Source organism: Homo sapiens, chromosome 1, assembly GCF_000001405.40.
Source record: "Homo sapiens chromosome 1, GRCh38.p14 Primary Assembly".
NCBI classification, from domain to species: Eukaryota; Metazoa; Chordata; class Mammalia; order Primates; family Hominidae; genus Homo; species Homo sapiens.
The window spans coordinates 98,727,396-98,745,449 of record NC_000001.11 but is presented as its reverse complement, the minus strand read 5'-3'; the positions used below and the strand labels follow the sequence as shown (position 1 = coordinate 98,745,449).

Sequence of the window (18,054 nt, the reverse complement as noted above, 5' to 3'; positions counted from 1 at the left end):
TAGGTCAGGCTTCAGTAACTATTAGGAGGCATGACTGTAAAAAGAAATGCACCTTGTTATGGATTCAAAATTCCCTGTCCTGGATAACTCCGGATTATTCCAGCTCTAGTCAACTTCTTTGTTTCATAATAAGGAAAGAGAATTTAACTTTAAAGAATGTGCCTCTTGACAGAGGTTCAGCCTAGGAGCCTTTTTTATGGCCAACATAAAAAAAAATGATTCAATACAGACCATCTATTACACCTCTATTGCAACAATTTAAAAGAAAACTCAAACACTACCTGCCATTTCTTAGGCTCAAAACTATGCTGAACAACTCTATCTGGGTAACTCTCCTACCATATCCATCCTTCTCTAAGACAGGCTATTGACAAAGGGTTGAGCAAGTATTAGATGACTGTGCATGGTGTGTATCAGAAATTACAGAGGAGGTTACTTTGGAAACATTGTTCCAGTATTGTTGAAAACCTTCTCTGGGGGTAATTTTAGGATTCACCTAGGAAAGTAACATGGCCTGCATTTCTTCTGGGTAAGTAAAGGTCTGTCAGTCTTCCTTCTATGAGTAAATTTAGAATTAAGGGCTTCAACTGGGGCTTTGTAAGTACTGCTTTCAGGTTGGTAAAGGGTGGGCTTTTGCACCACTCACTGAAAAACAGAAGATACCCAGCCATCTCTTTTTTGCAGCAATGGATAGTTTTTGTTTTATTACCTCTTCAAATGTATTGGATTTTAGTTAACGTTTATTTGTATTTGCCTAATCCTTTCATCTTATACTTTCATTCTCCTTCATGGAGAAAACAGCAGTGAAATAGAAATGAGTTAGTTCTGTTTTCTTAGTTTCCATTACACAGTTTCCACTAGCAATTCATTTTTATTAATATTTTTGGTAACATATTAATTCCTAATTTTCTTGCTTCCAGAGATGCTCCTCATACCTACTCTCATTTGACTCTGGTGCTGTTTGGAAACTCTTCACATTTTTTCCCCCAAAACTCTCTTCTTCCTGACATATGCTTTCACTGACATTGCCTGTTTTTTTCTGTATTCCTTCTTGACTGTATCCTCCTCTATCATCTTTGTTTCCATGATCCATGGTCCACAGGTACAATTGTGTCAGATTCTTCACCTGCTTCATTCTTTTCACTTTTTAGAATTGTCCACTCCTCTCAAGTCATATTCTCATTTAGAGTGTATGATTTTGAGAAAGTATAACTAACTTTTATCTAATTTTTTAAGCTACTTTACTAAATTCTAGGAAATATGACTGAGAATGGCCAAATTTTCCTTCCTTTGCTTTCACCTCCCAGATTCTGGAAATAGTACTGTCTCCTGATGGAACTGTCATGTTAAGATAACAGTTCTTTGTTAATCAGAATTAAGTCTAGGGAGACTATTCCCCTCATTGCTCCTTTCAACTCACAGATGAGCACATATCAATACTTTTTCTGATTTTCAGTTTTGAATAGAATGAAATTTCTGACAGGAATCTAAATGCCATCCATCCAAATCTTGCTTAGGTAGCAGTTTTATCATCATTATCAATATAGTTTAACCTCTTAAGGTCAGAATACTTGGAAATTGTCCTAATTTGGACCAGGATGTTTTCAAGTAAATATTTACAAAATCTACAAAATGTTCCGAAGTATGTAGTGTAGTATTAAGTTTAAAACAAACAACCATGTCACTAGAATTTATTTCACCATTTTCCCAACACAACAAGAAATAAATCCCTAAATAAGTAAAACTACACTTGAAGAACCTTCTGGACACTCAGTGCTTATTCAGACTTAGTTTTTAGAGGACTGCTGTGAGATCTATTTTTACAAAATTTCTGTAATTTTTAAATGAGCCATAAATAACTAGACTTGGATTTTAAGAAAACATTAGTAGTACTGTTCATCTGGCTAGACAGATACCCTTGTAACGATTTTTTTCTTTTCCTCAAAATCTTTCAGAAATTTTCCTTTGCTAGAATTGTTTTTCTGCTTGCTAGATGTCCATATAAATATATTTGTGTTATCTGCTAAGAGTAGAACCTTTTATTCAGTCTATCCATTACAATCAAGCAAAAAAACTAATTTAAATACTTCACCATTAGAAAAAAATAACTTTAGGGCTGTATTAATCAAATAAATGAATAAATATTTTTATATATTATTTTTCCCTAATCAACTTTAGCCTCCTAACAGCAAGACTTAAGTGTGAATTTGGATCACCTCTCCCCATGCCACGCCACCCCTGTGTTTATTAGCACAGGGCTTTGATGATAACAGAATCTCACATAAATGAGTTTACATGAGGGAACTGACATTCCTAAATAAGACTGATAGAATAAGAAATGCAGTAATCATAGATAGACCTGCTTATTTCTTGAAATTCTTACCAAGTTTTCAAAAAGCTAATATTTATAATTATTTTTAATAGTAATGATAGAAGAAAAGAAAAAAAACAAATGTTTAACTATTATTATCTAAGCTAATAAATATACATCAGTATGATGTATCATAAGAAAATTATGACACTATGTGGAAACATATGTAAAATAAATGAAAAATATGGAACTCAAAATACTATTCATTTTAATCATTGTGACACAAAATAAGTAAACATATGTGTTTTTATGCTGACACATTCCAAAGACCCATGCAGAAAATCTAACAATAATTTAATCTTAAAATAGCAAATTATTTTCTATAATTATATTTAAATGAACCACTCCCTAGGAGAAAGGATTATATGGGTATTCTTTATCCTCATCATACATTTGTGTACTGAGCTTTTGTTGCTGTAATTGTTTTCAGTGAGCCTGTATTAATTTTATAACCAGAAAAATAAGATAATAAAACAAGCATTTCCATATATTTACTAATAATTTTAAAATAAACTATTCAAAGGAATGAACTATATTATAAAATAAGCTATGCAAAGGAATAAACTATATTCCTTTATCATATTCACTTAACGACAAACTGCGTAATTTGGCAAAAATTAACATTAGTAGAAACTTGGGCCAGCAAGACTGCAGAGAGGACAGCGCTATCTCCAAGAGTAACAGATACGGTCATGTGAGATGCCACATGTGAGATATAGAGCAGGGCCGGATCACAGCAGGTACTCAGAAATGGTAATTTAGCAGGCACACATTAAGAATCTGCTATGTGCCATAGACACCTTTGAACATAGCTCCCTTTACTAGCCCTACCCTCATCATTGGGAATATTTGTGAATTCCCTACCCTTTCTTACTATCCACCTTGTCCCTGATGTGTTAGAGACAAAGAAAGCAAAGACATTAAATGACCAAAAGGACATCAGAGCTGTCTGTCACCTCCTTAATAACAAAGGTGATTTCACTGGACTGGGTAAATGGTTCCCCATTTTTTGTGCTCATACTGACAAAAGGTAATTGTTCTATTTTATATTAATAGCTGTTGCCAAGTCCAGAGCTATTCTAAAGCAGTTCCTAAATAGCTGCACTTTCCTGCCAGAATTTCCAAATAAGCCCTCAAAGTCTAATTGTAAGAGGACATTGGATAGCCAAGTGAATTCAATGATATTAAAATAAAGCTTTGAGAAGAATGTGCTCTTCCAGTTCATAAGATCAGCCAGGAATCACTTGCTCTCAAGCCTTCATCATTAGCATCATCAGCATTGACAGCAACAAAGCAGATATTCTTTTGCACCTTCAAGAAAAAAGTTAGGAAATATCCATGCCCTGTATCCAGGGCATGGATGTTTTACTGTTTTAGAATCCCTTCACATTAGCAGGAAGTCATTTTCTTTCATTATTTGGGTATCAATATACTTTGAAATCATTCACCCTGCTCAAATGGATTTGTAATTTTATTGTTTCGTTATTCATTTGTTTAAAAAGACTCAACACATTTATCCTTAATTATTGGTCATACAGAACAAAATGGGAACAACATCATTTTACCTAGTAAAAGTTTCATTTGAGACACCTGTTCTGGATTTAGAATCAACTCTCTCCCAATAAATTCATACATCTAAGTACAACATGACATTGATTATTACATGTTCTTAGATGTAATAGATGCCTCTAAATATAACATGACACAATTATTGCACAATATGATAATAACTGGAGTTGGATACAGACCCATACCATGTATTTATAATATAATTTCCCTCTGCCATTTTGATATTTAACTTTTAATTTCTAAACAATCTGTGACCAGAACTTAATACAGGTAAATCCAAAGGCAAATGTATGTATACCCTGTTTCATCCATCACACTAGGAACAGACCGTTTTGGGAATACTGATGAAAAAAGAAGTATTTCCATTAGAATGTGATGAAATTAAACAGGAAATGAATGACCTCTGGAACATTTCACTTCCCTGTATATCTGAGATTTTCTGATATTAATAGTTAGTGACAGATTGTTGCTGTTTAGGCCTTAATCTTTCTGCTAAGAATCCCTGATCATTTAAGGGCTCCAACTTCTTGATTTTGTTTTACTGGACTGATGTGCCAAATCTGTTAAAAGTTTTCCACTCAGGAAAAAATTCAACAAACAATTGGAGCTATAAGGATCTCTGGAAGTTATACAAAAGAGAAACAATGATCCCTCCAAATTTATACATTTAAGATGGAGGACACAATATAATTTTGTAACATTTAGAAATGTAGTACACTTGGGGAAAGAGTTAAAAACATCACACACTGATAGAAACTGCTGTGAAAAACAAAATTTGCAATATGGCACAGCGATGCTCATTTAGCTGTTTCTAAGAAAGGAACATTTTGTATAAACTGAATTCAATCAATGAGACTGAAAAAAAATACATTTTTATGTGAGAAGTACGGTAAAAACCCAAACATTTTAGTTGAAATTCTGTGGAATTGTTATGAACACTTTTAAAAAAATCCAAATTTAGAAAAATTGGCAGATCTTAACATTTAAAGGAAAATAATATTAAGTGCATTTGTCATGTGATTTTTATACCCTAATATACTTAGGTTTTGTAATCATTTATAGAAAACTGCATGCTTTAATTTAAGGCATTTTCTTATAAATTATCTCAATTAAAATTTTGGTTTTATTGTTTTGTTATTCATCACATGTTGACTTTCTTAACAATTCTGTAATGTAAGCGTAGACAAGTTCTACTATAAAGGAGAGGTAAGGTTAGTTCTGTGGATTTAAACAGTTAAATGGTAATAAAGCCTTATGTTGATAAATGTGCTTTATTAAAAAGAAATACTTTATATCATTCAAAATCTGAGATTTATGGGAAATTCATTTTAGATACTTGAATTTACTTAGGGTTGTTACCAGAATAAAAAATTATGGAGAGATAGAAAATGATCTTTCCAGTTCTACCTAGTTAAAAAACAAAACAAAACAAAACAAAACCATGGATCTGTTCCATAATCTCTAGCCCACTAACATGAAACTCCTAGGTCAGTTCACATCTCTGCCTTTCCTGCCTCCTAACTAGTCTCATCATGTCCAGTGTTGCCTAACTCTGACCCATGTACAGTCAGAGCAATCTTTCCAAAAGGCAAGTCTGATCCGGTCAGTTTCCTCCTGAAAACTACTCAATGGCTCCCATTTCCCTTAAAGGTAAAAGAATAAATTTATAATGCACTCTTCAGCCTAATCTTTCAATTCAACACTACCTTCACTCCTTCTTCCTCCAAAATGGAACCTCAGTTATCTGAACATGTTCTCTCTCCCTTCTACACTTTTGTGCATGTGTTTTCTCTGCTCCAACTCCATTTCTCACACTCTTATCTGGCAACTCCTTATTCATCATTCAGGTCTCTGCATAAACATATCCTTATTTTTTCTAGATTAGGTTATATGACCCTGCAATGTCTTTCTATACCGAACCTTATACCATTTTATCATGCTCTCTTTGTGATTGTTTCCTTCATTGGCTGTAACTACATGAGAAACGGATTGTGTTTGTCTTGCATACTGTGGTCTCTCCAGGGCCAGGCACAATGTCTGGTGATAGAAGGGGCTTAATTAACTCTTGGTGAATAAAAACATCAATATCAGTTAATCTTTCAAGATATATAATATTTCAGTTTAAAGTTCTTTTAAACGGATAAGCACTACATACTATAAATTACAGGGGTCCTCAACCCCTGGGCCATGGACTGGTACTGGTCATTGGCCTGTTAGGAACCCAGCCGCACAGCAGGAGGTGAGCGGCGGGTGAGCATTACTGCCTGAGCTCTACTCCCTATCAGATCAGAGGCAGCATTAGATTCTCACAAGAGTGTGAACGCTATTGTGAACTGCGCATGTAAGGGATCTAAGTTGCGTGCTCCTTATGACAATTTAACTAATGGCTGATGATCTGAGGTAGAGCAGTTTCATCCTGAAACTAACCCCGCCCCCCACCTAGGAAAACTTGTCTTCCATGAAACCTGTCCCTGGTACGAAAAAGGTTGGGGACCACTGCTGTAAGACATAATTTTGTTAATGTAATAATTTCATATATTCATTAATTCAGCCAGAGATAAGGTTAAAGATGTTATTTTAAAATATACTTTCTAGAAAAAGTATGTTTACAATAAAAAAAAAACTTCTCTGAGAAAAGTCAGCTGTAAAAAAATTGAAATACAATCATCTGAAAAACAAAATGAACTTAAAAAAAGATGTTGTTACTCTTTTGCTGATGGAATGGTGTGCTCCTTTGTTGATGGTTTCAGAATAGCTACAGAAGACAGGGATAGCAAGGACATAGAGAACAGGCCCTGAAATGATTTTCTGCTCATTCAAGTCTCTGCTCCTTTCCTTCCTTTGCAAACTCTTCATAAATGGAGAAGGGAGAGGAAAGAGGAGTAGTTAGGACAATCATTAGAAAGCATTATCAAATGCTTTTGAAGAATCCAAATCCAAAACAACAAACTGAGGATAAACAAAACCAAATGGTAACTGACAACTTCATCAAAACCAAGCTACCAGAGAGGCATTAGAATGTGACACTTGTTCTTTAATACACTCTTTCAACATTGGACGGACCAAAAGTAAATGAGCATATAACTTTAAAATGAAGCAATATCAAACAACACTAATTACCTGTTCATAATAATGGATATTCTCCTCAGCCATATCTGTAAATGCTAACTTGATATCATTTTGCATATTTTGTTTCCATCTCTCCCAATCTGCTTTCAGGGCATTATTAGCACATTCCACTTTATCTTCAAGTTTTCCAATCTCCTCTGGAAGCTGAATTAAGTCACAAAGAGAGATACATTGATCTATGAATTCTTTCCATCAGGTGAATTCATCAAATTTAAGTTGAACAAAATACCAAAACAGCCTAAATATAACTCTTTTTTGTTTTTAATCACCAGTATTTACTCTGTGTACTAATTAAAGTAAAAAGAACAGGGGTTCAGTCAGGTTGAGTCAGGGTTGTAGAGTACAGTTCTATGGTTGGCCACCAATTAGCACCTGGCCTTGGCTAAGTCTCTCAAATCCTGGGCTTCAGTTTCACTATTTATAAAACAAAGGCAACTGAACCAAAAATTAACTCCAAAGTCTTTTGTATTAAGACTCTCCTTACAACTACCATTTCTGGTGATAATATTTATATTAAAAGATATGGTGTCTTTCACTTCAGATTCCCCATTCTGGCCCTCATTTTTTAATGGTTTTTAGCTGAAGCCTCAACTAACTGAGAGGTTATAACATCCATACTCTGTAGTCCCACCTGGAGGCCCAGGGGATTAACCTGCAAACTCTACTCAGATAGCTAGTAACAGAGGCAAGTTTATAATTCAAGATGCCCAAATCCTAGACCATGAGCCACTGGACAGGCTTAGTGTAATATTTACCCTCTTCCCCACCTTATCAACTTTTGAGCATGTAATCCATTGATTTATTCTTTTATATTTGGCATATTCATATATATGTATTTTTATATTTATAGCTATTCATATATTCAGTATATATTTACTAAGTGTCTTGTCTGTAGCAGGCATTCGTCTAAGACCTGGAGATTCAGTAGTGAAGAAAATACACAAAAATCCCTGTTTTTACCACAGCTTATACTGTACTGGGGAGAGACAAACTACAAGCAAGGTAAATAAAAAATGGGAACTGTCAGCTGGTAATAAATGCTAAAGAGAAAAATGAAGCAGAACGGTAGACAGGGAATGTTAGGATGCTGCAATTTTAGATAAGGTGGCCAGAGAAAGCCTAAATAAGTATGACTTGAATAAATATCTGAAGTAGATGTGAGAATGAACCATGGGACTCTCAGTGGAAACACATTCCCAGCAGAGGAAACACCAAGGGCAATGACCTGGAGGTAGAAGCATGCCTAGGTGATTTAAGAACGGAAAGACCAGCATGGTTGCAACAAAAAGAGAAAAAAAAAAGCGAGGGGAAAAGTCCTGGGAAGTGAGGTTAGAGAAGCAGTGAGTGGCCAGATCACACTGAGCCATGTAGTCTATGGTAAGGTTCTTGGATTTTATGGAGATTCAAAGCCAGGAAGATTTGAGCAAAAATGACATCATCTCTCTTATGTTTTAAAAGGGGCCTTATATGTTACTACCATTTCATGACAAAGTATTTGTGAGAGGCCATCTTTTAAAAAGAATTCCCATTTCAAGATGCTAAAATGTAAAAATGTCTTAGAACCAATAAAATGTATTACTTCTGATGCTTGAATTAGCTCCTTTTTAAATATGAAATTTCACTTCTGTTCTTATTTCACAGCAGCCATGTGTGCTTTCATTTCTGAAATAATAGATATTTGGTATTACATAAATCTCTCATGACCAATGTAAGATGTATTTCAGTAGAAAGGCTGACTTTCATGTCTGTGTCTGTGTTTTATTTTTTCACTCTCTTGTTTAGTTTGTAGGGTCAAACTATATCAGCGAGAATACTGTATGGGAATCTGTAGTCTTCTGGGTATTTTGCTGAATCTTAAAGAACATGTCTAATGGGATGTTACTGAATAACTAATAATGATAGGCTGTGGGTGTTTGGAAATAGGCACCCACAGCCATAATAAAATTGTTGAAAGGCCAAACTCAAACAGGATCTGGGTCTGCTAGGAGACCTCAGGGACGTTAGAGAGCCTCCTCTGGATTGTTGGATGGAATCCTGCCATTTGCAGAGCCAGGTGGGGATTATTAACAGAATGCCTCCATCTAGGATCAAGGGGTACGTACATCAATTGTAACCACACTGTTAACTCTCCTCTGCTTAGGCTTTGCAGTTTAAATTGCCATGCAATGGCATAGAATGCCAACAGAGTGGTTCTACTGATATCGGCTTTCAGGAAACACTGTGTCTAAATCACATAGTCTATCTTCCTCTTCTGCCTGATGGAGCTTATAATGGTGTCACTGCCAGAAAGGATTTACTGCAGAGAGTTTTTTCATGTCAATCTGTAAATCTCCCTCATTAAAGCCTTTGAAGTGGTGGTCTGGTTAGTTGGTGGCTCTGCTCTAACCAACAGGTACTGTGTTCCTAGAGAAGAACTTAAGAACTCACTCTCAGAACTTTGCCCTCACTGTCACCTGCAGAAAGAAGGACTGTAGCCTTATCAGTACAGCATTGGGATTAAGAGGACTGACAGTAGGTTAGCCTGGTCTCAGTTTAAGTCCCACTTCTGTCTTTTACAAGTTATGTGACATTGGGTAAGACTATCTGTTGAAGCCCTAGTATTTTTATCTGTAAAATAAAGGTAAAATAATAACATACATTTCATAGGGATTCTTATAAAAACTGCAGCATGAAACAATGACCATTAATTGACTTACACAGGGCCTGAAAATTTGCCTACTAAATGTTCTCACCACCATCATCACCATCATCATCAGTTGGTGAAAATGACATTAATTCACTGTCTTCTTCCAGTATTTTAGTCTCTGGTAATATGTCATTCTTCTACTAGTGTCTAGGTATTAAGTCAATTTCTAGTGCAGTTTCCTCAATCTATTTTCACCAGTGCAGAAAATGACACATATGCCTTAAATATGTATGATCAATTCTTGTCATTTTTTGGTGACTATATCAGAGTTTTCTTCTTTCTTTGACGAGTTATTCATAAGTTTAGTTGGAAAAAAGGAAGGTAAAAAAATTAGGTATTTCCTCACAGTGAATCATCTTTCCATAATTTCAATTCTAAGAAACACTAACATAATAAGCACAAAACACCTAATTCAAATTAAGAATAATCTGCACTATATCTTTCCTAACAACTTACAAAAGCATAATATAATTAGATGTCCTTCCCCTTAGTTGACTTCAATTTTACTACGTTCTTTGGTACAAAGACTATGCATTCTGACTGTGCTGTCCATCCAAGTTCTAAAAGAACAAATATACTCAACAAAAGTTAATCTGAGGGGGAGAATAGCCCACTGGCAGGCTAAAGTCCTTCTGGTATTTTATTGTTCCCTCCAACACCAGATGTCGGGTTTCAATAACTCTAACCATAGGAAATTCAATCCATATACTGCAAAATAGCATGGAAAAGACTGGGCTAGATAGGATTTAAGGCTTGGTATTATTCTTCTTTTCACAAGTACTGACAGCAGTTTAGCCCTCTGTTATTGGAAAAATTGAAGAAGCAAGCAACCCTTGTTGCCAGCAAAACGTTGTAATGCCAAAATAAGTAATAATAAAAGACTGTAAGATAGTGAAAAAATGCTTTATATTTAATCGTAAGACTAATGGGTAATTTCTAGCTTCAGTTATATTCAGCTAGAAATTAGCCACACAAAGTCATTAATTCTAAAAGCTCAAACAAAACAATATGTTTCTACGATGGTGACTACATATCTATAGTAACAGTAACAGCAGTAATCATGACTATTTTTTGCATTCTGTCATTGGCTATATGCTTTCCATACATTATTCCACTTAATCTGCATAAGCATGTTACAAATTTGGTATTATCATCTTCCTATTACAAGCTGGGAAACTAGAAGAAAGAAGAGGCAGAGATTATATAGCTATTTGTGGCATATTAGGGATTCAAACCGATGTCTGCCAGTCAAGACACATGCTCTATTCATACGGACTGAATAGCACCAGCCATTGATTGGACAAGCTTGTCTGTGGCTTTCAAGCTTAAACTGATATAGCTGTTATCTCAAGGATAATCAATTAGATACAGATACACAAAAGTAAAGCAAAAAACCAAAGGCTATAATAAAAAGTAGAATGGGATACATACCATAATGGAAGGAAAAACGTAGAAGTGGTATTTACAGATACAGAATGGAAGATTGATTCTGATTGTGGGGTAGGGGACATTTTGACTTTTAATTCACTAGGCAGTGACTGGGACAATGAAACACCTATCTGAGGGTATGATATGAACACAACCACAGAAATAGTATGCTGCAGAGTGTGACAGAAGAATGGACAAGAGGCTGGTCTGGAGTTGGCAAGGAGAAGCATGGGAAATACAGCTGCAAATGCATATTAGAGACTGACCAGTAAAGGCTGGAAATGATATTGAGCATGAAAAGGATTTTGCAAGAGATGATAATCCACTGAAGGTTTTGATCAAGGCAGAGCTGTACTTCAGACAGACTGAGTCAGAGATATGTGGAAATTGTTAAGAGAGAAACAAAGGAGGAGAAGAAAGGAAACCAGTTCATCTGAAATGGGACTAAGGAATCAACCATAAAAAGCAATAGGGAGGATCTGGTTGGTTCTCACTCATTCACCCAGCAGCTTCCACTCAGCATCCATCTAGTCTGCGTTAGGAACGAAAATGGAGGGGGAAGAAATGGACCTTGCCCTCACAGACTCATGCTAATGGGGAGAAATAAATAAGTAATCAGGAAAAGGAAACTTGAAAGGCATTCATGCAAAGCAAACTGCAGACGTTAGTTCACAGAAGCATGTTTACCTTGGAGTTTCTGAAGAACTACAGATAGTTCTTTAAGGTTGATACCTAGAGTACGAGTAGGTGAAGAGCTAAGGAAAAGGACAGAGAGGCAGGCAATGCCAGGTCCTAAAGGGATTTCTCCTGCAGGTTGTTCGTCTTTTCACAGAGGACAAGTGGAGGCGCTGAAGGAGTTTAAGAAAGAGGACTAGAGACCAGTGGTAAAGATCAGACTCCTGATGCCACAGAAACTGAAAAGCAGCAACTGAAATGCTAGGAGGCAGAGTCAGGAGGGTCTAGCCCTGATCTAGATGGTGGGCACTGAGAGAAAAGTCTGCATTGCTGATAAGGTTAACTGGAAGAACAAATACCGTAGGGTGTGATAGGAGATGATGGCCTGAAGGTTAACAGTGGTAATACATTCACTGTGCCAAATAGTATCGCAAAGTGAGGGACACTGTTATATAAACATTCAAAACCACTCAGTTGCATACAGAGCAAAGAATTTTTGGAGGCTAGCAGGAATCAAGATTAAAGTTAAGCTTTGAAGCTTCCAATAACACTTTGCTACACTAATTTGGGTGGTTTGGGCAGGCTGGGAGGTAATATGGATACACCGATTGACATACCAGTTGCACCGAAGCAGACCTGACATTTTAAATTAAAAGCTACAGGAATATGTCTAAGGAAATAAGTAAAACTGATGTGCAGCTCTGCTCTTTTGGGAGAGACCTCTCTCCATTATCAAGGTTTTTTATTTGATGTTTCAATGATGCTTAAACTGATTTGGAATCTGTTCATTTGGAAACTGTTAAAACATTTGGTCCTCTAAAATGATAATCCTCCTCAAACACGTAAATATATAAATCTGTTTTTATTTATTGACCCTGACCTCTTTGATACCTCTTTGGATACAATCAATTATGGATGCTCTTGACTTACCGATGTGAAAGAAAACAAAAACTCCAATCTGAACCCCAATTCACTATGCTAAAGGAAAAAAATTAAGCTGAAAGCTGAGTCATGCAAGAAGCTGCCTTTCCTTTTGTTCCTAAGCAGATACCTATAGATAAAAAGATTAAATTATCTCCACAGGTCGCTACTCTATGTTCACCTTATCTTATGTAAAGTGCCCATCACTGAGACGGAGAGGAATACATAATTGACTACTCCCCTACCTGCTCCTTTTCTCTTGCAACAAGTGGATAACAGTACCCTCCCTATTTCCCCTCCAGCCCACTTTTCCCCTATAAATACTGAAGCCTTCAAAATCATCTTTGGAGAAAGTTACAGGCCATAGACTGTTTCTGTGATTCCATGTTTATTTCCTCCACGCATGTCCCTAACCTTGGCAAAATAAACTAAATGGATTAAGACACATCTCAGATACTTTTTGGGCTACACCTACCTCCCAATAAGCCCACTGTTAGTTGAAAATATTGTAAGCCAAAAATGTATTTAATGCTGGCAACACAGCAGACGGTCTCCAAATTAAAATCATTCAACTTAGGATTTTTTGACTTTAGGATAGTGAGAAAGCCAACCACATTCAATAGAAACGGTAACCCCATCTTAAAGTTGAATAATCCTAAATGGAACCATCAGAATTCAGGGACCATCTGCATTTTGAAGTGCTAAGCTTTCAGGGCTATCTGAAAACTTACATTTAATTACATAAAAGCTTTAAGTTTGATGTACCCATAGCAGAATCAAGTTAATAAGAAATGCAAACAAATTCAGGAAACTTTGTAGAGTCATGTGCCACATAACAACATTTCAGTCAATGACAATCTGCATATATGACAGTGATTCCATAAGATAATCATATGCTATTTTTACTGTACTTTTTCTATGTCTAGATACACAAATATTTACCACTGTGTTTCAATGGACTAAAATAACATGCTATACAGGTTTTTAACTCAGGAACAACAGGCTACACCACAGAGCCTTGGTGTGCAGCAGAGTATGACATCTCAAGGCTGTGTAAGTATACTCTACAATAGTCACACAATGATGAGAAAGCCTAAAAACAAATTTTTTCAGAACATATCCCAATCATTTAATAACATATGACTGTATAGTAATTGAGTTATGGAAAGTTTGACATGAAAAATAACTGAAAATTTTTCTACTGAAGTCCAAAGACAAAGACGGCAACATGAGGGAATTCTGAAGCAGCTCATGCTCACCAAGAAAACTACTTTGTGAGAATTATGAACTAAAACTATGAAGTTCATTCACTTAGTTAATAAATATTCTTCCTGTCTACTATGGGCCAGTCACATGGTAGATGTTATGAGAGATACAATCCAATAAGCACATAGTTCCTTGAGGCACTTGAAGCTAAATAAAACAGTATTCTTATACTTTTTAAAAAATTTTTATTCTTATAAAAAACAGTATTCCTATACTTTGGAGTTTTCTTTTGTTCATTCTAAAAAAAAAAAAAGGCAGGAATACATTCTGAATTGTTTTTAGTTAAAACTATTTTTCCTGAGAGGGGAATATGTTACACAGGTAAACATGTGCCATGGTGGTTTGCTGCACCTATCAACCCATCACCCAGGTATTAAGCCTAGTATGCATTAGCTAGTTTTCCTGATGTTCTCTTTCCCCACCTCTGCCGCCCTGTGTCCACGTGTTCTCACTGTTCAGCTCCCATTTATAAGTGGGAACATGTGGTGTTTGGTTTTCTGTTCCTGTGTTAGTTTGCTGAGGATAATGGCTTCCAGCTCAATTTAACAGGAATAGCATTGAATCCATAAATTACTTTGGGTAGTACGGCCATTTTCACAATACTGATTCTTTCTACCTATGAGTATGGAATGTTTTTTGCATTTGTTTGTGTCCTCTGATTTCCTTGAGCAATGGTTTGGCATTCTCCTTAAAGAGGTCCTTCACTTCTTTTGTTAGCTGTATTCCTAGGTATTTTATTCTTTTTGTGAAACTGTGAACGGGAATTCATTCATGATTTGTCTCTCTGCTTGTCTACTGTCGGTGAATAGGAATGCTTGTGATTTCCGCACATTTATTTGTATCCTGAGACTTTGCTGAAGTTGTTTATCAGCTTAAGAAGCTTTTCAGCTGAGACAATGAGGTTTTCTAGATATAGGCTCGTGTCATCTGGAAACAAGACAGCTTGATTTCCTCTCTTCCTGAGTATTCTTTATTTCCTTCTCTTGCCTGACTGCCCCGGCCAGAACTTCCAATAGTAAGCTGAATAGGAGTGGTGACAGACAGCATCCTTGTCTTGTGCTGGTTTTCAAGGGTACTGCTTCCAGATTTTGCCCATTCAGTATGATATGGCTGTGGGTTTGTCATAAACGGCTCCTATTATTTTGAGTTATGTTCCATTCATATCTAGTTTATTGAGAGTTTTTAACATGAAGGGATGTTGAATTTTATCGAAGGCCTTTTCTGCATCTATTGAGATAATCATGTGGTTTTTGTCTTTGGTTCTGTTTACGTGATGGATTACATTTATTGATTTGCATATGTTGAACCAGCCTTGCATCCCAGGGATGAAGCCTACTTGATCATGCTGGATAAGCTTTTTGATGTGCTGCTGGATTTGGTTTGCCAGTATGTTACTGAGGATTTTCACACTGATGTTCATCAGGGATACTGGTCTGAAGTTTTCTTTTTTTATTGTATTTCTGCCAGGTTTTGGTATCAGGGTGATGTTGGCCTCATAAAATGAGTTAGGGGGGAGTCCCTCCTTTTCAGTTGTTTAGAATAGTTTCAGTAAAAATGGTAACAGCCTCTCTTTGTTCCCCTTGTAGAATTCAGCTGTAAATCTGTCTGATCCTGGGCTTTTTGGTTGGTAGGCTATTTATTACTCCCTCAATTTCAGAACTTATTATTGGTCTATTCAAGGATTCAACTTCTTCCTGGTTCAGTCTTTAAAGTGTCTAGGTATCCAGGAATTTATCAGTTTCTTCTAGATTTCTTAGTTTATTTGCATAGAGGTGTTTATAGTATTCTCTGATGGTTGTTTATGTTTCTGTGGGGTCAGTGATGATATCCCCTTCATCATTTTTTATTGTGTCTATTTGATTCTTCTCTCTTTTCTTCATTACTAATATTAATTTTTCAAAAAAAAAATCAGCTCCTGGATTCACTGATTTTTTGAAGGGTTTTTTGTGTCTCTATCTCCTTTAGTTCCACTCTGATCTTGGCTATTTCTTGTTTTCTGCTACCTCTGGAGTTTGTTTGCTCTTTGTTCTCTGGTTCTTTTAGTTGAGATGCTACGTTTTTGACTTGAGGTCTTTCTAGCTTTATGAAGTGGGCATTTAGTGCTATAAACTTCCCTCTTAACACTGCTTTAGCTATGTCCTAGAGATTCTGGTGCGTTGTTTCTTTGTTCAAAGAACTTCTTGATTTCTGACTTAATTTCATTATTTATCCAGGAGTCAATCAGAAGCAGGTTGTTCAGTTTCCATATAGTTGTGTGGTTTTGAGTGAGCTTCTTAGTCTTGAGTTCTAATTTGATTGTGCTGTGGTCTGAGAGACTGTTATGATTTCAGTTCTTTTGTATTTGTTGAGGAATGTTTTACTTCCAATTATGTGATCGATTTTAGAGTAAGTGCCATGTGGCACTGGGAAGAATGCATATTCTGTCATTTTGGGGTGGGGAATTCTGCATACATCTATCAGGTCCACTTGATCCCTAGCTGAGTTTAAGTACTGAATATCTTTGTTAATTTTCAGTCTTGATGATCTGTGTAATACTGAAAGTGGTAAGTTAAAGTATCCTACTATTATTATGTGGGAATCTAAGCCTTTTTGTAGGTCTCTAAGATCTTGTTTTATGAGTCTGGATGCTCCCGTATTTGGTGCATATGTATCTAGATTAGTTAGCTCTTCTTGCTGAAATGAACCCTTTACCATTATGTAATACCCTTGTCTTTTTTGATCTTTGTTGGTTTAAAGTCTGTCTGTCAGAAACTAGGATTGCAACCCCTGCTTGTTCCTGCTTTCCATTTGCTTGGTAGATTTTCCTCCATACCTTTATTTTAAGCCTATGTGTGTCTCTGCCTGTGAGATGGGTCTCTTGAATACAACACACTAATGGATCTTGACTCTTTGTCCAGCTTGACATTCCGTGTCTTTTAATTGGAGCATTTAGCCCATTTACATTTAAGGCCAATGTTGCTATGTGTGAATTTGATGCTGTAATCATGATGCTAGCTGGTTATTTTATAGACTTTAGTGCTTCCTTCAGTAGCTCTTGCAAGGCAGGCCTGGTGGTGATGAATTCCCTCAGCATTTGCTTGTCTGAAAAGGATTTTATTTCTCCTTCACTTATGAAGCTTAGTTTGGCCAGATATGAGATTCTGGGTTGGAAATTATTTTCTTTAAGAATGTTGAATATTGGCCACCAAACACTTCTGGCTTGCAGGGTTTCTGCTAAGAGGTCCACTGTTATTCTGATGGGCTTCCTTTGTAGGTGACCTGGCCTTTCTCTCTGGCTGCTCTTAACATTTTTTCCTTCATTTTGACCTTGGAGAATCTGAAGATTATGTGTCTTGGGATTGATCTTCTCATGGAATATCTTACTGGGATTCTCTGGATTTCCTGAATTTGAATGTTGGCCAGTCCTGCTAGGTTAGAGAAGTTCTCCTGGATGATATTCTGAAGTTTCTTTTCCAACATGATTCCATTCTCCCCATCTTTTCCAGGTACCACAAACAGTCATAGGTTTAGTCTTTTTATATAATCTCATAGTTCTCGGAGGTTTTGTTCATTCTTTTTCATTCTTTTTGCTCTAATATTGTCTGCCTGTCTTATTTCAGCAAGATAGTCTTCAATCTCTGGAATCCTTTCCTCCGCTTGGTCTATTCGGTTATTGATACTATGGTTGCATTGTGAAATTCTCATGTGGCATTTTTCAGCTACATCAGGTCATTTATGTTCCTCTCTAAACTGGTTACTCTGTTTAACAGCTCCTGTAATGCCTGTAATGTTTCATCATGGTTCTTACCTTCTTTGTAATGAGTTAGAATATGCTCCTTTAGCTCAGTTGAGTTCGTTATTACCCACCTTCTGAAACGTCTACTTCTGTCAGTTCATCCGTCTCAGCCTCAGCCCAGTTCTGTGGCCTTGCTGGAGAGGTGCTGTGATCATTTGGAGGAGAAGAGGTACACTGGCTTTTTTAGTTTTCAGCGTGTATTTTTTGGTTGATTCTTTCTCATCTTCCTGAGTT

General features: G+C 36.3%; 1 protein-coding gene across 9 annotated transcripts in view; it reads right to left on the bottom strand.

Annotated features, from left to right (window-relative positions):
- SNX7 (sorting nexin 7) overlaps window positions 1-18,054 on the bottom strand; it is a 99,182-nt gene that overhangs the window by 15,051 nt on the left and 66,077 nt on the right. For 6 of the 9 annotated variants that reach the window (XM_017001425.3, NM_001364903.1, NM_015976.5 and 3 more), the window contains one exon: window positions 7,061-7,213. The exons of the other annotated variants lie outside the window; for them this stretch is intronic. In XM_017001425.3, coding sequence (XP_016856914.1) covers window positions 7,061-7,213 — 153 coding nt within the window. The remainder of the gene's footprint in view (window positions 1-7,060; window positions 7,214-18,054) is intronic. 9 annotated transcript variants of the gene reach the window in all.